This window comes from Homo sapiens, chromosome 22 (genome assembly GCF_000001405.40).
Source record: "Homo sapiens chromosome 22, GRCh38.p14 Primary Assembly".
Classification (NCBI taxonomy): Eukaryota; Metazoa; Chordata; class Mammalia; order Primates; family Hominidae; genus Homo; species Homo sapiens.
The window spans coordinates 18,055,709-18,077,964 of NC_000022.11; the positions used below are offsets into that span (position 1 = coordinate 18,055,709).

Genomic DNA, 22,256 nt, shown 5'->3' on the forward strand with positions numbered 1-22,256 from the left:
GTTTTTGAGACAGGGTCTCACTCTATCACCCAGGCTAGAGTGCAGTGGTGTGATCATAGCTCACTGCAAGCTCCGCCTCCTTCCATGATAGCCTCAAACTCCAGGCCTCAATGGATCCTCCCTCCTCGGCCTCTCAAAGGTCTGGGATTACAGGCATGAGCCACTATGCCCGGCCTCTATCTGCATTTTGTGTTCAGTGTACACTTATCAGTACATAAATTATCTTGGCTAGTCGTCATTTCTGTTGTCTATCTCCAACCACCCCCGAAGCCTTTCATCTCTAGCTCCCAGAGCTGGGGACTTGTCTTGTTTACTGCCGTATTCCCAATGCCTAGAGCTCATGTGGCATGCAGCAGGCACTGGCTATGGGTGGAGGTCTCCAGCTCTGCTCCAGCTCCTGTCCCACACGGTGAGTAGCCTTCAGAAAAGGAAGTCCTTGAAAAGTGGAGGCTGGGGCTTTGTTCGGCCTTTCCCTGCCCCTAGGCTTGCGTTCAGCCCGTGGCTGTGTGTCCCTTCCTGGCTTTGCCCCTGATTTGCTCAGTGTGGGTGAGCCATAGCCAGTCTGGTGCTGAGGAAGGGGGTGGATGGGAAGGGCGGGGCCCATATGTCAGTGAGACACAGGCCACAGTTCAGATGGATGGTATCAAGTCTTCATGACTTCAGCTGCACTTAGTTAAACATGGACCAGCCCATTGGAACCTTGTGGGCAGTAGTCTGATTTCTGCTGTCATTTCTGCTCTCTTCCAAGCTTCAATTAAGGGAGCAACAAAAGATCTCTATCATGAGCCATGTGTGGTGATCTCATCTGCTGAGACAAATATTTTTTTTTCTGGTTATATTTATAGAACACTCTCTTGTTTCCTTGAACAACCCTAGCTGGCATTATCTTGTTTACTTTCTCTTCATCTAGATTTGCATTTGCAGGGGGGCAGCTTTTATCTGTTGCTCTTAGCTGTGTGGGATTTCAAATTCCTCTGTTTTTCTTCTTTTAGCTTTCATCTGTGAGCTCTTTTAAAATCAAGCAGTTTGTAACTTATAGTTACCAAGGCAGTAATTAATATTATAAGAAAATAGACAACACCGGCTCCAGCTAAGCACTCTGTGATAATTTTTCTTAGCAGTGTCTTGTGGCCTTGCAGAGGAAAATGGAACTTGGTATTCCTTTCCCCTTTGTGCCAGTCATGTGCTTCCTGATGCCAGGCCTCCCTCCAGCCCTCCCATCACAGGGAAACTAGTACAGACCACCCCCACAGACCTGTGGACTGACACCTGACTACCTTTGGGGGCATCTGACCTTGCCTGCGGTCCCACGGTGACTCACAGTGAAACTAAGATGCACAGCTCGGGTAGGAACCTGCTGGCCCAGCAAGAGAATCTCTTCTTCGGGGACCCATTAAGCTAGGCTCTGTCAGGTGAGGAGAATGGGGACCCTGCAGGCAAGGAGAGACCGTGGGTGGGCTGAAATCTGTTCCTGCAGTCGGGGAAAGGCTGTGGGCTCAAGGAGGCATAAAGAGGCGACACCCAAGCAAAGGCAGCACTGTGCCGACTGTGTCTTTGGTGCCCCTCAACTTCTTCTTTTTTTTTTTTTTTTTTTGAGACAGGGTCTCGCTTTGTCACCCAGGCAGTGTCATGATAATAGCTCACTGCGGCCCTGAATTCCCAGGCTCAAGTGATTCTCCCACCTTAGCCTCCTGAGGAGCTGGGGCTACAGGTGTGGGTCATCATGCCTGGTTACTTTAAAAAAATTTTTTATAGAGACAGGGTCTTGCTTTGTTGCCCAGGCTGGTCTTGAACTCCTGGCCTCAAGTGATCCTCCTGCCTTGGCCTTTCAAAGTGCTGGGATTACAAGCACGAACCACCTCTCCCAGCCTAGGTTCACTTTTGCAAAAGGTGGTTATGGGTGCTTAACGGATCCAGATAGAGACCAAAGTGACTATGGGGTGCATATGTGGAGAAAGAGGAAGAGCTTTTTGTAGTCTAGATGCTCTTTCTGTACTTCCCCCTGGGCAGAAGCAGCAGCCCTGAGCCCCCACAGTGCTCGCCTTGTTCTGGGGACACACAGTGTAGTTGCATATGCCTGAGACACACTCAAATGAGCATCATGAGCAAGGCTCAAGGCCCATGACGTCATCCTCTCACTGTTCTTGGCTTTAACTAGAAACTTACTGGTGACTCATGTCCAGTTTTGGCTTTAAAGGTAAAAGAGACTGGGAACAATTGGATACAGTCCATATAAGAACAAATAAAATGAATACTTGGAAAATAGGTCCTATGCGAATACAATTAGGACTACTTAAATTAGACTACAGCAGGCAGATGGAAGAGGTTATTTATATGAGGAATAGTGATAAACTCTTCTCTTTTATGCCTTTTTGGATGTAGATGGGATAGAAATGATATTCCTGCTTTATTTATTTCTCTCTACTGAAAACCAAATAAAAGAAATTGGGCTTGATTTGCAACTGCAGAGATGTAGGGTGGATATAAGGCATTATTTCCATATGTTGTTAGACACTGATCTTTCGGGGTACTTGTTTTTGTTTCTTTTTCTAAAAAATGTGAAAAAGCAAGGCACATCAATGATAGCTTTGCTGCAGTGGAGCTAGTTAATATTTTCTAAGTACCTGAGAACTAGGACCTTGGTAGAACCCCACAGAAGCCAGAAAATATATATTCCCTGTTTTCTGAAAGGTTCTGATATTAGGATTAGCTATTCTGATTGTTTTTATTCCTAAAAGTTAAATGCAGTGGGGTAGAGGGTAGAGCAAGTGGAAGGAAGATGTTGAGCATGTGTCCTGGCTCTGACATTCACTAACTCTCTGACCTTGGGTGAACATAGGGGCCTCATTTACAATGTGGTAATGATGATAGCTTTCCTTCTTAACTCACAGGTCATTAAGTGTGTTAAACAGCATCACAAATATGACAGCGGGCCATAAACTGTTGAGTGCTATACAAAGACAGAAACTATTCTTAATTTGGATAAACCATCCTTGATCAAATGTGTTTCCAGCTAAAAATTCTTGATGGAACTTGATTCCCAGGTTTGAATTTCAAAACCTGTGTAGTCCACGCATTCGAACAACCTCCTGTCCACCCACCCACTTGCCTCTCAGAGAATGTCTACTCTGTGGTAGGCACTGTAACAGGCATGGCGATGCCACGATGAATCTCACACAGTGCCTGGCTATGTGGGAAGGCAGATGACAGTCTGGTCAGGGTGGAGAGAGAAGGAAACAGGTCATTACAGTGCAGAGCGGTGAGCCCTCTGATCTGGCCAGGCATAGGTGCTGCAGGACCTCACCTGGGGGCCCCAGATCCAGCCTGGTGAGGACAGAAGGAAACTTCTTAGAAGTGCTCGCCAACCCAGGCTTGAGTGATAGAAGTTAGCCAAATGAAGAAGGAATGGGTTGGGGAGGACCCTAGCACCCAGAAGCAAAGTGAAAGCTCAGTACACTGCAAGACCTGCTGGTAAAGTTAAAGGTTACACGTTGCCCATGCAGGAGGACAGGGGAGAAGGGAGGCATGTCAACCAGAAGCCACCCCACGCCCAGCTTGTCTGCCTTGTTAGGGAGTTTGGACTTTATCTTGAGGTCAATAGAGAGCCTCTGAGAGGTTTTAAATAGGGAGTGTTAAGATCGGATTGAAATGTCAGAGATGTCACTCCTAATGCGATGTTGAGGATGAACTGGAGTGGGCAGGACGCTGGTCAGGAAGACCAGCAAGACTGTTGCAGCAATTTTGGGAGGAATGGAGGTGGCCTGACTAGGAGACGGTAGATTGGTCAAGAGTTTCAATGATGCAAGCAGATAGGACCATTGTTACAGAAGGAAGAAAAGGAGTGAGAAAGTTGGAAAGATAGGATGTTGAGATCAGAGAGTGGAAGATAAAATAGTTTCTGATGATGGCTGGGACCAGGGTGTAGCCTTCAGAATGGAGCTGAAAAATGAGTGGAGATGAAGGTCATGTGACATGAGGTCAAGGATGTGGGAGGTTTCTCCTAGGGCTTTAAAAAAATGTGGTAGAATATATGTAACACAAAATTAACCATCTTAACCTTTTTTTTTTTTTTGGAGATAGAGTCTTGCTCTGTCACCCAGGCTGGAGCGCAGTGGTGTGATGTTGGCTCACTGCAAGCTCCGTCTCCCAGGTTCACACCATTCTCCTGCCTCAGCCTCCCGTGTAGCTGGGACTACAGGCACCCGCCACCAAGCCTGGCTAATTTTTTGTATTTTTAGGAGAGACGGGGTTTTACTGTGTTAGCCAGGATGGTCTTGATCTCCTGACTTCGTGATCTGCCCGCCTCAGCCTCCCAAAGTGTTGGGATTACAGGCATGAGCCACCGTGACTGGCCCCCCATCTTAACTATTTTTAAGTGTATTAAGTACATTGTATGAAGAACATTAAGTGTGTTAAGTGGCATTAAGTACATTCACATGGTTGTACCACCATCACCACCACCCAGCCACAGAACTCTTTCCATCTTGCAAAACAGAAACTCTGTACTCATTAAACAACTCCCCATCCCTCCCCCTCTACCTTGGCCAGCCCATGGCAACCACCATTCTCCGGATTTCTGGCAACCACCATTCTCCAGACTTCTGTCTCTATCAATTTGACCATTCTAAGTACCTCATAAAAGTAGAACCATACAATATTCGTCCTTTTGTGACTTGCTTATTTCACTTAGCACAAATGTCCCCAAGGTTCAACTGTTTTGTAGCATGTATCAGAATTTCCTTCCTTTGTAAGGCTGAATAACATTCCATTGTATATACTCCTTTCTCTTTTAGACTTTTGATTATGGCCCACAACAAGAAAAGTAGTTTACACCATGACCTATTACACATGAAGGTATTATGTCATGGAAATAACCTATTATTGGCATATGTTTTATATTATACATATAATTAAAATAAATATTTTACCCCCAAACCACCTTTCTTACATGTGAAGTACTCTAATATTTTCTTTCTACTCTGTTTCTTTAAAAAAAGATTGCTGGCCACAGTCCTCGAAATCAATTTCGTGACACATTAATGGGTTGTGATTCTGAGTTTGTAAATAGTTGGTCTGTTTGGACATTGAAGTTACCCACGATGATGGCAAGACTTGGAATGAAGTGGTGCCAAAGTCTTCAATGAATATGGAGGGGCAGAGGCACAGCTCCATGCATTTGTCCTCGTGAATGGCCTGTGATTTCAGCACAATCTATTAGGTAAAGGTCCAAACTATCAGTTTACTTCTGGTGTAAACAGGATAATTCACAGATTTGCTGTTTTTCCCCAATGGTCTCCAGCTGGCATGGGTCTTTAATTTATTCACTGCCAGTGACCATTCCCCTCCCTTTTTCCATCCTAGGGAAGAACTAAGTAAACTGCCCTTCTTCACGTGCCCCAGCTCCGTAGTCTGATCTGGAAAAGGGGCAGGGGCACGGGAACCTCAGCAGCAGGTGACTGTGGCCTCCAGACTCTGCCATGCTTCCAAAAGCTCCAGCCATCTCATGGTTGCAAGAATCTCCCAGAGGGAGAGGCCATGTCCAAGGCGACGGTGGGTGGGGTTCAGCCTCCCAGGCTAAGGCTGGGAACGTGCCTTGCCCAGAGGAGAGGGCAGGGTGGGAGGCACTGAGGGCAAGGGTCAGGGCTCCCACAGAGCCAGTGTGTGTGGGAGGAGAACGGGGGTAACTTGTTGTCCTGCCAGTCTAAGAAAGTCAAAGGGTTTCTCGTTGTCTCCCTGAGTCATTACACCCCCAGCTATTTTTGTTAAACATTAACACAAAGTGTCAGGAGAGCTTCACCATTTTTAATGAGCTAATCTCTGTGGCATCCCCATAGAATGAGGTCAGAACAATCACCATCTCAGTAGCAAGGAAAAAATAGGCAGAGGTGGGAAGGGAAATCGAAGGGAAATTCACATTTCATCAAGCAATTACTGACACCCATTCTGCACTGCACTGATATTGCAATATATGATGCAAACAAGACAGTCTCTGCTTTTTTTTTTTTTTTCTTTTTTTTGAGACAGGGTCTCACTCTGTTGCCCAGACTGGAGTAGTGTGCAGTAGTTCAATAATAGGTACAGCCTCCATCTCCTGGGCTCAAGTGATCCTCCCACCTCAGTCTCTTGAGTAGCTGGGACTACAGGTGCCTGCTACCAGGCCCAGCTAATTTTTGTATTCTTTTTGGTAGAGACAGAGTTCTGCCATGTTTCCCAGGCTGGTCTTGAACTCCTGGGCTCAAGTGTCCCACCTGCCTTGGCCTCTGAAAGTGCTGGGATTACAGGCGTGAGCCACCATGCCTGCTGGTCTCTGCTTTTTGAATGCTGACATGCTGACCTTAGATGTGGGGTAGGGATGATCAGACCAAGTATTCTGAATTATGGACTTGGAATTTGCAAAGTCCAGTGATGAGAAAGAACTTGACTTGTTTTATTTATTTATTTATTTAGAGACAGAGTTTCACTCTTGTCGCCCAGGCTGGAGTGCAATGGCGTGATCTCGGCTGACTGCAACCTCCACCTCCCAAGTTCAAGCGATTCTCCTGCCTCAGCCTCCCAAGTAGCTGGGATTACAGACGTCTACCACCACGTCCGGATAATTGTTGTATTTTCAGTAGAGACGGGTTTCACCATATTGGCCAGGCTGGTCTCAAACTCCTGACCTCAGGTGATCCACCCGCCTTGGCCTCCCAAAGTGTTGGGATTACGGGCGTGAGCCACCGTGCCTGGCCAACTTGTTTAGAAAAGTGGGACTGAGGTTAATATCAGGAGTCTAGAGTTCAAGAGTGGACAGCCAGGCAGGACTGATCTTGTCAAGATTTTGATGTGGTTGGATGATATGATCAACAGATCACAGAGAACCCTAGGGCATTGCAATGCTTAGGCTGGGCCATTTGAGCGCCAGCACCTCGCTATGAAACACACTGAGCTGGAGAGTCAATGATACAAGAGCTTAAGGATTTTATAAAACATGACTACATACAGCACTTCATATTAGTCAATGTTCTTTCACAGTAATGATTGCATTTTATCCTTATAACCCAGCAAGGTCAGTATAGTGGGCATTTCCTTATGCTAATACCTCTGTTCTTCACCACCCCACACCCTTTTCCTTGATAAAGATTCTGGGGATTGGAGAGGAAGTAACTTGTTCTGCACTAACCGGAAAAAGAACCTAGACATTCTGACCCAGCCTAGGGCTCTCTCCACTACTTCAGACGCCTCTTTAGCTCGACTCTCCCCTCCAACCCTGCTTTTTCTGCACAGCCCAGTGAGTTCTTGCTTGCTGAAAGAACCTGGCCCAGCCAGGAAAAAGGACACCGGGAGCTTCACATATGTTTGTCTTCAGAGGCAGCGCTCGTGTGCCACCAACATAAATCTGATAGGCACTGAGATCTCGGTCTTCCCTTTTATTCTGGGGAGGGAATTGTGGAGCTTAGGCTAGACCATCCCTGCCACCGGCCAACTCACTGAATCGGTTCCTCTGGGAGGAGCACTGGGAGTTGGGGTGATGTGGTATAGCCGAATTGATGTCCCATTTCTGGGTTAGGATCTGGCCCTGCCATTTACTAGCTTGTAGTGTCAGGCAAATTTCTTAACTTTTCTGAGCTTCAGTCTAATGGCAATAGCCAGGATTATTGTTAAGATTAAGCCTGCACCATAAGCTTCATTCCTTGAATAGCTAGTGTTACAAATGGTGAGCTGTTAGCCCCAGGGAGTTCGGAAGTCTCTGCGGTTTTATCCGGGGGTCCTGGTATTGCCCGCTCTGAGGATGGGTCAGGCTCTGTGGAGATTCCCCACTTAACCTACCGCATCCTGAACACTGGAGGCTGTTGTTCTGGGATCCAAAGCTGCTCCACTGTTGCCCCAGGGCATCCTGACCTAGTGAATTGCCTCCTTTAGAAGCACTACTTTCCCATCCTCCCAGACTAGCTAATTTACTGCTGATGAAAATAGCTTTAACGGAACTTGGGTCCCAGGAAGGCCACCGCTGGCCTAGAGCATAGAATTCCAGGGCAGAAAGGGATTCCAGGGGTCTCACACTCACTCCCAACTCTGATTCCAAGGAGACAATCCCCACAGTGGAAATCTGTTAAAACACTGAGTAAATCAAGATGGTTCCTGCTAATATCTGACTAACGTTTTCTTCCAGCTGTACGTTCCCAACCTGCCTGAACGAGGCCTCTAGGACGGCAGCGTCCAATCACATCTCCCCTCTGCTTTCCTAACTGAATGTTGATATTCTCAGCCTATTTTGCTTGTACAAGTCCCGTCTGTCTGCCTGCCTGCCTGCCTGCCTGCCTGCCTTCCTTCCTTCCTTCCTTCCTTCCTTCCTTCCTTCCTTCCTTCCTTCCTTCTTCCTTCCTTCCTTCCTTCTTTCCTTCCCTCCCTCCCTCCCTCCCTCTCTCTTTCTTTTTTTCTTTCGACAGAGTCTCGCTCTGTTGCCCAGGCTGGAGTGCAGTGGCGCAATCTCGGCTCATTGCAAGCTCCGCCTCCTGGGTTCACGCCATTCTCCTGCCTCAGCCTCCTGAGTAGCCTACAGGCGCCCGCCACCACGCCCAGCTAAATTTTTGTATTTTTAGTAGAGACGGGGTTTCACCATGTTAGCCAGGATGGTCTCAATCTCCTGACCTAACGATCCGCCTGCCTCGGCCTCCCACAGTGCTGGGATTACAGGTGTGAGCCACCGCACCCAGCCAAGTCCCGTTTTTCAAACTCAATTTGCTTCTTGCCTCCAGACCCTCTCTGAGGTTTTGTGTTTCCTCTCCCATTCAGGTGGGGGCTGGGGTGGGAGGCGGGCAGAGGCTGATCCAGCAGTTGGAAAGGGTGCAGCCCAGGTTCTCCTAACTCAGGAAGAGAAGGGGGGAAAGGAAGGCCTTATCCAAGGATATAGCACGTTCTCTTTGGTAAACCAGAGAGACACTTTTGTTTTCTTAGCCACAGAGTGCCCAAGGGGAGCCTCAGGGTACAGGGTGGCAGAGGTGGGAATAAGGACTGGGTGGGGGAGGCCAAGGGAGGGCCTAGAGTGCGGGTGCAGGAGTCAACACTCCAGGACGCAGATGTGCTTGATAAGACAGGTGACTGGCCTGGAAGGTTGAGATCACAGCCTTACTTCTTTATTTTACCTCGCTAGTGGAGACCTGGTTACTCACGAGGCCAAGGGATCCTGATCATTCATTCAAGAAATATTCACTGCCTAGCTAGGTAAGGAGTTAGAAATAAAATGCGCAGCAAAGCCCTGCAGGAGTTAATAGTTTGGTGTGGGATTTGCTTCCGTAAGCAGACGGTGAGCAGGCTGCAATGCAGGTAAGTACAGGGTGCCACAGGAAGATAGACAAGTAGCTCGTCACCCACCTGACAGAGGCAAGGAGAGATTTAGGAAAATCTTCCCAGAAGGGGTGATAATTGAGCTAAACTCTGGAGGGTTAAAAGGGGTCAGCCTGTCCAGGAAGCAGAGAGGGGCTTCCAAGAAGAAGGAGTCATTTGCTTAAAGTCCCAGGTTGAGAGAGGGCAGAGTGGGCCAGGACAGTGGCAGGGTGGGCTTTATGACTGCAGCTGTGGGTATGAGGAGGAGACTAGGAGTGAGAAATGAGGCCAGGAAGGCAGGCAGGGGCTGGGTCCTGAGGGACATGGGCAAGCTGCTTCCAGGAGATGGATGAAATGAGCGTGTGCTCCTTGAAGGAGTCTTCCTGGCTGTGCCCACCAACGGGCAGGCAGTGGCGGCCCCCGTCGGTCAAAGCTGTGTCATCGCTCAGAGGCTTGCTAAGCTGCAAGTCATGCAGGTGCAGGCAGAGGCGGGGGCAGGAGGGCAGAGGTTCTTAGCCAGCATGATGGGGCACAGCTATGTAATTCTCGGGTGGTTTGGGGATAGGAGGATTCTTTCCACACACTCTGACGCTGTCACTCCAAAGTCAGGCATTTCTTCACTTGACAATGGGCACCTGTAGGATGGATGGGGCATGGCAGCCATATCTGCAGCTGTATGCCAGTTGCATTTGGTGCAGAGAGCAGAGGGCAACACTGCTCTAAATTCAATGGCTCTGGAAAGGAGGTGGGGTGAGAGGCAGGAGAGGTGATGACATTGGCATGTGGGTCCTGGCTCCTAAATACCGTGGCTCGCTTTACAATCTGCCGGGTCTTGCATGTCCAAGGAAGTACGCAACCTCGATGTGATGGTCTAAGAGAATATTTTATTGCTACTTGCTATTATTGAGAATTGAAAATGGATCTGACTGGGCAGAGAACACACCAATCCCATCACATCATCCCTGCCACCCATACAGCAGTCTGCTGCTCCCTCTTCATACAAAGTCCTTTATCTGTTTGGCTGCTGGGGTTTGAGAGAAGCAGCAGCATGGCAGGGATTGTCATTTGCTTTGAATTTATTCAGCTCTGATCTATTGGGGTGGTACCATGGTCTCCCCAAATTCAGACAGAAAGGGAGTAGTGAGGATAAGACCCCTTGGTGGGGAGCTTAATGTGGACTAGCGGCTCATCCTGCATGTCCAGGAACTGGATGGCTCCAAGCCAACTGTCTTCCTCAGGGGCAGGGTCTTCTTTAGATCCCCAACACTGCAGTCTCGGCACCTTGCTACTGCCCTGATTTCCACAGACTGGCAGGACGTGATGCATGCCACATTGCACCAGAGTGATCACAGCTGTGGACAATTCTACTAAAACTACTTGCAACTCAGCCACCTGCGCAATCATTTTCTCCCTTTTTGCTACCCTTCTTCTCAATCTTTCACTTCCCTCTCACATTTTGCTAGGCAAAAGAATGACCTAAATTAAGTGCTCCTTCCCTTACCTACTCCTTTAACCCCTCTTTTCCGTTCTCCCTTTCAGCTCTCTCTCACCCGGTTCTTCTCATCCCCCTTCCTCTTCCTGTTCTGCAGCCAGCTGTGCTGGGTCGAGGGGTCAAGGGAGTGACTAAAGTGCCGTGTGTCCTTGTTGGTGGGTTTGACACTTTATCCTCCAAATGCTAAACGGTGCCTCTGCCATCGCACAGTGCCACCAGGTGCCTTGCCCTGTGGTTTACGTTATGCACTGGGGGCACCTTTCACATACAATACAAAGTCCACGGGGCCACTGGAGTTGTGCAGCTCAGCCACCTTGGTTTCAATGTGGCACTCAGAAGCCTCCAAAGCAACAAATCTCTTAGGGGAAAATGGTGGCCTCTTGGTGGAGACCAGGTTCTCAGATGGACGTCTAAGTCTGTGAAAAATGCCTCTATGTACCCAAGTCTCCCTGTTACTGTTAACCTGAGGCTCAGAGCCTTCTGACTCAAAAATCTTCCTACTTAGGCTGGGTGCAGTGGCTTACACCTGTATCCCCAGAACTTAGGGAGGCCAAGGCAGGTGGATCACTTGAGCCCAGGAGTTTGAGACCAGCCTGGCCACCATGGTGAAACTGCTTCAGAGGCTGAGGCACAAGAATCGCTTGAACCTGGGAGGTGGAGGTTGTAGTGAGCCTAGGTGGTGCCACTGCACTCCAGCCTGGGTAATAGAGTGAGACCTTGTCTCAAAAAACAAACAAACAAACAAACAAACAAACAAACACCTTCCTGATCCCCCCTCTCCAGCCTCGCCATCCACTGCTTCCCATGTGACCATGTCTCTGGACAGATGGATGGTCTGGACAGGCCATGTGCTGGCCTGGCTCCACACCCAGCTTCTGAAGGTCTTCTTGATGGCAGCACCTTCTCTCTAGATCGGAATCCATCCTCCTGTCCATCCCTGCTCAGCAACACCCTTGCACCATTCTCCAGACTCTTTTAGAGTCTGCTCCCCTCATTGGGGACAGTTCACTGGTTTCCACTACAGTTAGAAAGAAATCCCTCCTCCTGATCCTTATGAGGCCCTGTGTGCTTTGACCCCAGCCTGGCTCTCCCACCTCCTGCTCCTGCCCTTGTCCACTCTCCTCCCACCACATTGGCCTTCTGCTCGCATGCTCACCACCCTCACACCCCTCTCAAGGCCCCGCACTTGCTGCTGTGACTTCTGCTTGAAGAACTCTTCCCCCAGATATCAGGGGCTGCCAGGAAGTGAGATCTGTAAGGGCAGAAGCCTTTTCTTTTGGCAGAGTCACAATTGCATTCCAAGTGGCTTAGAACAGTGCCCGCCTGGCACATGGTGGGCGACGGGTAAATAAACACTGAATGAAAGGTGTAAGCACACGCTGCCCTATGTTGTCTGTCTCTTTCTTCCTTGCTCCATCTTTCCTTTTCCATCCTCCCCCGAGGGGAAGCCTCCTGAGGGCAGAGATCTGCTCTGTGTCAGACATCCCCCTCAGCATCCAGCCTAGTGCCTCCAGCAAAGGTGCTTCTGTCAACATTTGTTGACAGAATGGAGACCAAGCTAGTGGGAACAGTTCTTTCACGCCTTTCCCACCAGGCGGGCTCAGCAGCCTCCCAGGCAGACAAAGAGTAACCCTTGTCCTCCCAGGCCGCTGGTCCTTTGGTTCGGCAAGCCTGCCAGCAGCACAGCCTCGGGGACGTCTGCTCCTTTTGCAGCAGAGCAGATCTTCACCTGGGTTTCCTTCCCACCATCACTTTCTGAGCTGCTCAGCGTCAGAAAAAGGGTATCTGGCCTCCTGGAACTACAACTGTCCCATCATCACACACCTAATCCTAGGAGAAAGCAGTGTTCTGCTGAAGTAACTGCTGGATTTAAAAAGTGAGATCTTCTAGAAAGATGTATTAAAAGATCATGACTTTGGCTGCTGTATTTCAAAGACCAGGCAGGCATTTAGGTGACAGAGTTAAATATTCCAAACTTACCTCATCCTCTCTCTCTCTGTCTCTCAAGGGTAAACATTCCATTCCTCTTCCAAAACCCAGTGCTTCTCCATATTTGGGAATCTGGAATGGGTACTAGGGGCACAGCCCTGTCTCCTCTCGGTGTCTGCTGGGAGCTGTAGTCACCAGAGAATGTCGGCTGCTTTTCTCTGGCCAGCAAGCAGGCTCTCCTTTCTCAGGAGGACATCTGAAAGCAGGAAAGCTGTACACAGTGAGATGCGAGGGTGCTATTAGGAGGCTTGCCTTCTATTTTCAGCTCTCCATGAGCTAGTTTTGAGCAAGGCCTCACTCTTTTCATGGCTCAGTCTCCCAAACTGTAAAATGGGCATAATTCTCTCTCTCTTTTCCTGGCTGCCTGATTGTTTGTTGGGTGGAGTAATTAGGCAGCACCCATTCAGTGCTTTGAGTTCATTCTAGAAAAGAGTGCTTTATAAATAACACTTGTTATCTCTAAAGGGGAAAATATTAATGGCCTAGATACCTCCATAAACTGACACTTTGCCTATAAGTCAAAAAAGATGCCGTGGAATTCCTTGTATGTGCCTTCCACTCACCCTGGGTTTAAATGGTTTCCCTGCATCTCCTTCTATTTTGTATCATCTCTAGTTTCATATCCTCAAGAATAAACAGTCTCCCTCCTTCCTCTCTGAAAAAAATAAAAAAAGAGTAAGACAGACCAACTCTGCCCTATGCCAAACACACAAGAACATTGTGAAGAAGAAACCACCTAGATCAGACTGGAGCTCCGAGAACTTTATCTCCTTCTTCCCAACTAGTGCATGAGAACTCAGTCTCCACGCAAGAGGCTGACCTTTGTTCCCATAGAAAAAGGCACACAGATTTCATTGCAGCAGGAAGGATTTTTGAAAGATCTTAATAAGGACTCCCCTTTCTGGAGACTTGAGAGAAGAGTTTTGACACCCAGCACCTTCTCTTTGAGGAGAGAGTCTGGTACAGTGCAGTGGAAACAGCAGCAGAGGTGGAATCAAACTGGTTAGGATCCCAGCTCTGAGACTCAGGCAAACATGTAACCTCTCCGGCCTTAGTTTCTTCAGCTATAAAATTGAGACAATAATATAATCTAGAGGTTTTTTTATAAAGTACTGCACAAAGATCAGTCGTTATAAGAGGCAGTATGATGCAGTGGTTAATAACAAGGAATTTTCAAGTCAGAGATACCTGGATTAGAATTCCACCTGGATTAGCTGTGGAAATGTGATCAAACTACTCAGCCTCTCTAAGCCATAGTTCTATGATGTTTAACATGGGGATAATGAGCATTAAATGAAGCAATGCATCAATGCATGTAATGGACCTAGCATGGAGCCTGGCACACACTAATTTCTCGATAAATATCGTTATGACTATTATCATTGTCACTGCAATCATTTTTACGTATCTTATGCTTGATCATCTCACTTCATGATAATCAAATCAAATAATGTGAAAGTGCTTTTTAAGTTGTAAAGTACCACACAAATGTGAAGGATGAGGAGAATGAAGCATACAAAGGAGGGAGCTGGGCACCCCAGAGTTCTCCTTGCAGCTTCAGGACTATATGGGATCAAGGACGTATACTTGCTTTTTAGCTACAGAGAACTGTAAACAGCTAAGTCATTATTAGTAACAGCGGGATTGTTTGATTTCTTGTTTTAGGTAGTAATTCCAATATCCAATTGAAGAATAGAAAGGACTCCCCTGACGCACCATGGGTAAGTCAGGGTGCAGAGTGGCATAACTCTGTGTAGCTACGCATGCTCATTGTGTGTGCTTGTGGAGGGATATGCAGCACAGTGCTAAAAGTTCTTATTAGGAGTGGTAGGATTTCAGATGATTCTCATTCTCTTTGTACTTTTGTGTCTTTGAATTATTTTTACTTTAGGTATGTATCATTTAAGCAAAAACAAAAGACAAAAGACAGTGGATACTGAACAACCAGATTCCCGTTTGTAAAACCTTGGATCCATAGTTTCCTCTAATCCCACAGAAGGTTTTCTCAGGTATGGAAAATGGAGTTTCTGAAAACCAGGAGCAGCTGGCGAAAATCATAATGACAAATGCCTGTGACAGGAAGTCAGAGGGGAAGGAGTCCCTTCAAGATGGCCCTGGGAAGGGAAGAAGAGAGATGCCTTTTCATCTCTGTTTATTTCATAGGCTATAATAACATGGTGGTTTCAATCATAGGCTGTGTACACATGAGTTTCCTTGTTTGCTATGGTAACATGTCATTCCTGTTTTTCCATCTCTGTTTTTCTGATCCCTTAGACTCTGGCTGTCAGAGAGGAGAACTATGAACTCACCTACTCATTCATGCTGCCCAGGTAATCACCTCTGTCATGAGCGATTAGGGGAAGGGTGTGTGGAGTCTACCTGTAATATATTTCCACTGTCCCGCTACATTTCAGAACCAGATGCACAAAGAACAAACAAGTTTCCCAGCAGGACTCAAAATAGAAGGGATGGTGACTGCATGCCTTACCATTCGGGATCCTCTTCTTCCCGGAGAACTCCGCGCAGGCAGGTCTGTACCTGCTTAGAGGCAGCCTGTCTGTTGAGCAGCCCATCCTCAGTGAGGGACGATAAGAGACTGGGGCTGGGGGGATGGGCAGAATCTTTGCTGTTGCCACAAACTGGGAGTGTCCGCAGAAAACTGAATGTGTCTGGACTTCGCCATCAAAACCCATGTTAGTGTGGCGCAGGAACAAGGTAGGCTGCCACATCCGGCCTGGCACACTGTAAAACTGCACACCTCCAGGGGGCGCCACCCCCACCCACACGATGTGCGATATGATTAACACCTCCAAGAGTTGTGCCCTGTGAATCCCAGGAAGGGTCATTCTTTTTTCTTTCTTTCTTTCTTTCTTTTTTTTTTCTGAAACAGAGTCTTGCTCTGCTGCGCAGGCTGGAGTGCAATGGTGCAATCTCAGCTCACTGCAACCTCCGCCTCCTGGGTTCAAGTGATTCTCCTGCCTCAGTCTTCCGAGTAGCTGGGATTGTAGGCACCCACCAACATGCCCAGCTAACTTTTATATTTTTAGTAGAGACAGGGTTTCACCAGGTTGGCCAGGCTTTTCTCGAACTCCTGACCTCAGGTGATCCACCCACCTCAGCCTCCCAAAGTGCTGGGATTATAGGGATGAGCCACCACACCTAGCTGGAAGGGTCATTTTTCCTGAACATCCTAACTTGCAGAGAAAGGTCTTTACAAAACCAAGTAGACTGGAGCTTGGCTGAGTAGCCCTTAACTTTTGAAGTGAACTGAAATGTCATTGATTAAAAATATACACAGACACCTGTTTTCCTCACTTCACCGACTTTTAAGTGTTGCATCTGGTGTCCTTCTTACTCTACTCCGGAAACAGATGCCGAGTGGGGCCTCAGTTTCTCCTTGACTGTAGTATAAAGCTCCTTCCAACTCTAAAATTCTGTGGCTCAGAGTGACTGAGTTTATTAGATTATTTCTAGGAAATAAGGAAAAGAACTCTAGTTGCAAATTGCTCATAGACAAGAAGTCAGGCTGGGCAGATCAATATCTGGAAACACCTGCCAGTGTCTGTCTTTTTGCAGGCCTGGGCCAGGGCACGGACCTTCTCAGCTTCCAACCTTTTCACACAGTGCTTACCAGCAAGGGTGCCTGAAAGTCAAGGCCATATGACACTGAAGAGCACAAGGGAGGTGGGGTCCCTCTGCAGCATTACATGCTATTATTTCACACCAAGCTAGATGGCACCAGGATCCCAGAATGAGTGGGACCCTGTCCCTGCCCACAGGAGAACACAGTACAGTAGGGGAATGACACAAATAACTATAAGGAACTGTGGAAACTTGGAAGGACCCACAGGTGAGGCATCAAGAAAGCAAAGCACAATTGGGAAAGAGTGATTTGCCTGAATCAGGTAGGATCAGGAAAGACTCTGGGAGGAGAGAGCATCTTTATACCCTTCCACAATAGAGCCAGGGCTGAATTATCCCCAGTGCACACCCATTACTGGTTTCGTTTTTCAGGCTTGGAGAGGGAATGAATTGATCTGGCATCGTGAAGATTTGTTCAGCCTTCCCTGAGTGCATCTTCTGACTCCTGGGGTAGGTAAGAAATGGAGGGGCTCCTGGAGTCACCTTCAAGGCAGATGAAGAGGAGCTATGGAGGCCCTTTGAAGCATGGCCCCTGGGCATGGGATCTGGTGAGAAACCTCCTTCCCAGCTTTGCCACTGAAACCATGGATTTTAAACTTCGGCAGAGTTTCCAAGCTTTCATTTCCCATCTATCAATAGGGATAATAATAATAATATACCTGTATGACCTTGTTCACAGGTTTGCTGTCAAGGTCAAATAAGACAAGCAAAAGTACCTTGTAGATCCAGTATTATACTAGTTAAGAAGAAAGACTGGAGCCCAGTGGTCCGGATTAAGTCCGCACACCTCCCCCAGCTCCACTATGCACTTGTTGGGTGACCTTGGACAAGTTATTTAACCTCCCTATAACTCAGTTTCTTCCTTTACAAAATAAGAATGAGACTAGGACTTTCATCATATGGTTATGAGGATTCAAATGAGTTAAATGTAAAGCACTCAGGCCAGGCGTGGTGGCTCACACCTGTAATCCCAGCACTTTGGGAGGCTGAGGCAGCAAGATTGCTTGAGCCCAGGAGTTCAAGACAAGCTGGTCAACATAGTGAGACCCCATCTCTACAAAAAATTTAAAAATTATCCAGGCGTGGTGGCATGTGCCTGTAGTCCCAGCTACTTAGAGGCTGAGTTACAAGGATTGCTTGAGCCCGGGAGGTTGAGGCTGCAGTGAGCTGTGATGGCACCAGTGCACTCCAGCCTGAGCAACACAGAGAGACCCTGTCTTAAATAAATAAATAAATAAATAAACAAATAAATAAAGCACTCAGAAAAGCACCTAGTGCATAGTTAATATCATACCATATAAATTGAGCCATCACTATTATTGTTGTAAAGTACTATACAGGATGATTATGATGGTCACTTCTTAGATACAGAAGCAGAGTTCTGCTGTGTCTACAAGGAGAGGAACACTATAGGAAGCATTGAGTTCTGCCCTGAACTCCTAGTCCAGGCTTTAAAAAAGAGCCATAAAAATGCCATCCCACTGATGAGCCTCTGGAGCAAGGGAGGTGTGCCTTGACCATCCTGGAAAAACATCATCTCCACCCTACCTATACTTATCTCCTTGGCTCGCTTCTGGCCAAAGGTCCACACTTGGTCTGAACCTATTGCATGCAGAGCTTTGCCACAGATGTCCCTGTACTGAGGGGCTCTGGCTGGTTGGGATGTTCGAAGGGACAGCTGTGGATGCTGTTTATTGGCCTGAAATGTGGAACCAGTGTGGAGAAGGCAAGACAGGCTAGGTTGACGTCAGATGTAGGCTTTTCATTTTTATTTTTTGAGAAAGGGTCTTGCTCTGTCACCCAGGCTTGAAGGATTGAGTGCAGTGGCGCATCATAGTTTACTGCAGCCTTGAACTCCTGGGCTCAAGCGATCCTCCTGCCTTAGCCTCTCAAGTAGCTGGGACTATAGGCACGTGCCACCATGACCAGCTAATTAGAAAACATTTTTCAATAGAGATGGGGTCTTGCTATGCTGCCCAGGCTGGTCTCAAAGTCCTAGGCTCAAGTGATCCTCCTGCCTTGGCCTCCCAAAGTGCTAGGATTACAGGCATGAGTCACTGTGCCCAGCCAGATGTGGGCATTTTTGATTTTTGCATGGAAGAGTCAATAATTGGATTCCAGGGCTGGGCACGGTGGCTCACACCTGTAGTCCCAGCACTTTGGGAGGCTGAGGCAGGTGGATGGCTTGAGGTCAGGAGTTTGAGACCAGCCTGGAGAACATGGAGAAATCCTGTCTCTACTAAGAATACAAAAATGAGCTGGGCATGGTGGCATGCAACTGTAATCCCAGCTACTCGGGTGGCTGAGGCAGGAGAATCACTTGAGCCCGGGAGGCAGAGGCTGTGAGTGAGCCGAGATCGCACCACTGCACTCCAGCCTAGGCGACAAAGCGAGACCCTGTCTCAAAAAAAAAAAAAAAAAAAGAATTGGATTCTAGGTCAGAAAGTAATATTACAGAACTTCGGAGTGCTATGAGATTCTTTCTTCTTCTTTTTTTTAAATTGAGGCAGAGTCTTGGTCTGTTGCCCAGGGTGGAGTGCAGTGGCCCAATCTTGGCTCACTGCAACTGCGGAGGCCTCCCAGATTCAAGACATTCTCATGCCTCAGCCTCCTGAACAGCTGGGACTACAGGTGGACACCACCATGCCTGCCTAACTTTTGTACTTTTAGTATAGATGGTTTTTCACCATGTTGGCCAAGCTAGTCTTGAACTCCTGGCCTCAAGTGATCTGCCCACCTCGGCCCCCTAAAGTGCTGGAATTACAGGCATGAGCCACCGCGCTGGGCTGAGATTCTTTCTTCTTTCTTGCCTTACATCAGCCTGAACGAGTCCAGTGATTGACAAGTGTTCAATGGGCTGTCACATGGTTTCTTCTGCTCTTCACAGCCACCCTATGCAGCAGGTGTTAGTATTAGTGTCCTCAGATGAGACAACTGAGGCACAAAGAAGTATGGTGACTTTCTAGAGGTCACCTGGCTTTGTCACTGAAGGAACCAGGATTCTTTTTTATTTTTTAAAAATTTTTATTTATTTTATTTGAGGCAAGGTCTCACTCTGTCGCCCAGGCTGGAGTGTAGTGGTGTATCTCAGCTTACTGCAGCCTCGACCTCCTGGGCTCAACCCATCCTCTCACCTCAGCCTTCTGCGCAGCTGAGACTATAGGCGTGCTCCACCACGCCTGGCTAATTTTTGTAGAGACAGGGTTTCACCATGTTGCCCAGGCTGGTCTTGAATGCCTGAGCTCAAGCAATCCTCCTGCCTTGGCCTCCCAAAGTGCTGGGATTACAGGCATGAACCACTGTGCCCCACCTGAAGGAACCAGGATTCTAGCCATGCCTCTCATCTCCAGTCCAGTGTGCTTTCTGCTACAAAAACAACAACTCATCCCCTGCTACAGCAGGCTGAGCAAATCTGCCTCCTCAGGCAAGGAGCCACACTGAGCCCTCTGCCAAATGGAAGGAACAACCCCAAGTTCCAGAGCCTAGGTAGGGCTAGGGAAGGGGTTGTAACGAGGATACTGGCATCTCAGGTGCTCTGCCAGTTTTCCCAAAATAAAACTATTCAAACAATACAAATATTAATATGGGCCTGGCCTTATACATCTGAAAGGACTGTCCTTATTTCCACTGTGTTTTTTGTCTCAAAGATGAGGAAATGACAGAAGAGATGATTTCAAAGGCTGTCCCATGAGCTCCAACTTAGAGACAGAAGTTTGGCTAAGTAAAGACAATACGCATTTATGTTCCCCCAGAGGGAATGAATTCGCTTCTGTTTAGGATTTCTGTGTCTTCGCTTGAGAAAGTCTAAGTACTTGTAGACATAGAGGAGATGATGTGTCCCACTGGATGTGTGTTGAGGAATCCATTTGTGGGCATAATAGTGCTAAACAGTGGTTACATACGGACTGATATGAAGCCCGGGAATAGTTGAAAATTGGGTGAATCAGAAATGGAATACAATCATATTTTTATATGGTTTCTAGCTCTCCTCTCTCCTGCCTTAAATATCTTGACCTCATTCTGGCTGTCTCACTACTAAATAGGCAAATTTACTTTTAGCAAGGCTGCTTCTGTTAAGACTGTGCCTCCATCTCCTGGACAAATTTGGAATAGCAAGAAATTTGTTAGGAAAGGGACTTTTCCAGGCAGCAGCCGCTTAGAGCTGGCCGCTTCTGAGCATGTTCGTCTTCCCAGGCCTGGCTCACATTTTCAGTGCTTAATGCGCATGGCGCTTTATGCGCAATATTACTTAATTCTTCCCTCAGCCATTGGGAGCTAAGGACAAACTGTTATCCCAATTTTACAGGTGAGGAAATCAGAGCTTATTTAAATAAATTGCCGAGGTCACACAACTAGTAAGCGACAAAATCTCAGTCAAACCGAGGCTCTTTTGGTTCAAAGATGTGTATTGAGCTCTACTCTGCTCTGCAGGGACAGAACTAAGTATGTTTGCTATTCAGGGGATACACAGTCATTCCATGAGCAAGTTACACAATGTAAAATAAGGACATTGTGAAAAACAAAACCATACCGTACATAATGCACTTTATAGTAAAGTACTGGGAACAGAGTATTTGGTAAATTGTAACTATAATAATAATTTTAAACAGATCCACAAATCACACTTATTATTATATTCTGTTTCACCCGGGCTTTGCCAAGCTTCCCACATTTGTACTAGATCCTCTTGGCTTTAGTTTCTCCCCAGTTCTCTACCCTTTGAATTCACTCCAAAGCTTCCCTAGAATCTTTGCTCTCCTAGAAATTAGATTAAACAGGCACCTGCTCACATCATACATCCCCTGCCCTTGTCACCAGACATGCACACATCCATCTTCTGGGATTTCCGTTCTCTTGCAGAAAAGTCTGCATGGGAAGCTGAGGCAGAACCAAGTCCACCAGACTCCGAGGAAAGAGAAGTCTGGACCCTGTAACCAGATAAAAGTGAAACCAGGACTTCATTTATTCCACAAATACTTTTTGACTACCTATAGATGACAGGCACTGTTCAAGGCATTGAGGTTCCCACAGTGAACAAAAGAGACAAAAACGTCTGCCTTTGTGAGTTTATATCATAGTGGAAGGAAATAGACAATAAAAATAAGTAAAATATAGACATTGGTATGTAGATGGTGATAAATGATAAGGAGAAATATAAAGACAGATCGGAAGTGACAACAGTGGGGAAGTGGAATTGGTATCTGCATTTAACGTTGTTTTTTAACAGCAAATTCAGGATGGGGCAGAGAGCAGTGAGAAAAATGAGGCCCTTATGCTCAGCGCCCCCAACCCCGCCTCGGTGGGGTCACTATTCATTTTGGAACATTGCCCTTGGGACCAACATATTCTCAGTGGTCCTTGTGAAGGTTTCCACCCTAAGTCCCTCATCCTCACCAGGCAATATTCATTACCCTACAGCAAACTCCGGAGGCAACGCGGAGAAAGTGTGAATCAATTCAAGACTAAGGTTGCCAAAATGTTTGATCAGCTCTGCGTCAGCCTTGACATTACATTACATTACAGATCCCCTGATCGCCACCGTCGCAGAAGCTCTGAATTAAAAGCGTGCATGTAGCTGCACATCCATTGCTGGCACTTCTTCCGTTAGCCTCCGCTGGAACTGGTTAGTGAGGACCCCTCCATTTCACAAGACAGCTTCGGTTTTGCTTCGTTTTGACTTCCGCACCCCGAAGCTGTAGCACCAGTTTGTTTTCTCACGGCACAGGGGCGGCTTCCGGGGCGCGGCGTGCTGGGGGTTGTAGTCCGCGCTCTGCCTCCTACTTCCATTACAGAAGGCGATGGGCCGAGAGCTGAGGAACTACAACTCCTA

The 22,256-nt window shown here is 47.4% G+C and overlaps 1 long non-coding RNA gene across 4 annotated transcripts, besides 4 other annotated features; it reads left to right on the plus strand.

Annotated features, from left to right (window-relative positions):
• The first annotated feature begins 250 nt into the window (after positions 1-250).
• LOC105372853 (uncharacterized) lies at positions 251-22,188 on the plus strand. 4 transcript variants are annotated; one of them, XR_951226.3, is made up of 8 exons: positions 1,320-1,412; positions 4,998-5,218; positions 14,450-14,505; positions 14,676-14,793; positions 15,059-15,114; positions 15,199-15,314; positions 16,799-16,880; positions 21,950-22,188. It is a non-coding gene; the product is annotated as an uncharacterized LOC105372853 (long non-coding RNA). The 4 variants fall into 4 exon arrangements; XR_001755423.2 differs by lacking the exons at positions 1,320-1,412; positions 4,998-5,218 and adding an exon at positions 251-409; XR_001755422.2 differs by lacking the exon at positions 4,998-5,218.
• Positions 5,529-6,029: an enhancer, noted in NCBI's record as "H3K4me1 hESC enhancer chr22:18544003-18544503 (GRCh37/hg19 assembly coordinates)". NCBI's record gives its function as "activates a minimal SCP1, AML or CMV promoter by ChIP-STARR-seq in naive and primed H9 embryonic stem cells {active_cell/tissue: H9 hESC(naive and primed)}" and the evidence as "EXISTENCE:reporter gene assay evidence [ECO:0000049][PMID:30033119]".
• Positions 9,727-9,816: a silencer, noted in NCBI's record as "silent region_13447". NCBI's record gives its function as "represses an Ori minimal core promoter by ATAC-STARR-seq in GM12878 lymphoblastoid cells {active_cell/tissue: GM12878}" and the evidence as "EXISTENCE:reporter gene assay evidence [ECO:0000049][PMID:35858748]".
• Positions 14,399-15,598: an enhancer, noted in NCBI's record as "BRD4-independent group 4 enhancer chr22:18552873-18554072 (GRCh37/hg19 assembly coordinates)". NCBI's record gives its function as "activates an origin of replication core promoter dependent on BRD2, P300/CBP, MED14 and CDK7 cofactors, and independent of BRD4, by STARR-seq in HCT116 cells {active_cell/tissue: HCT116}" and the evidence as "EXISTENCE:reporter gene assay evidence [ECO:0000049][PMID:35650434]".
• Positions 21,956-22,015: an enhancer, noted in NCBI's record as "active region_18647". NCBI's record gives its function as "activates an Ori minimal core promoter by ATAC-STARR-seq in GM12878 lymphoblastoid cells {active_cell/tissue: GM12878}" and the evidence as "EXISTENCE:reporter gene assay evidence [ECO:0000049][PMID:35858748]".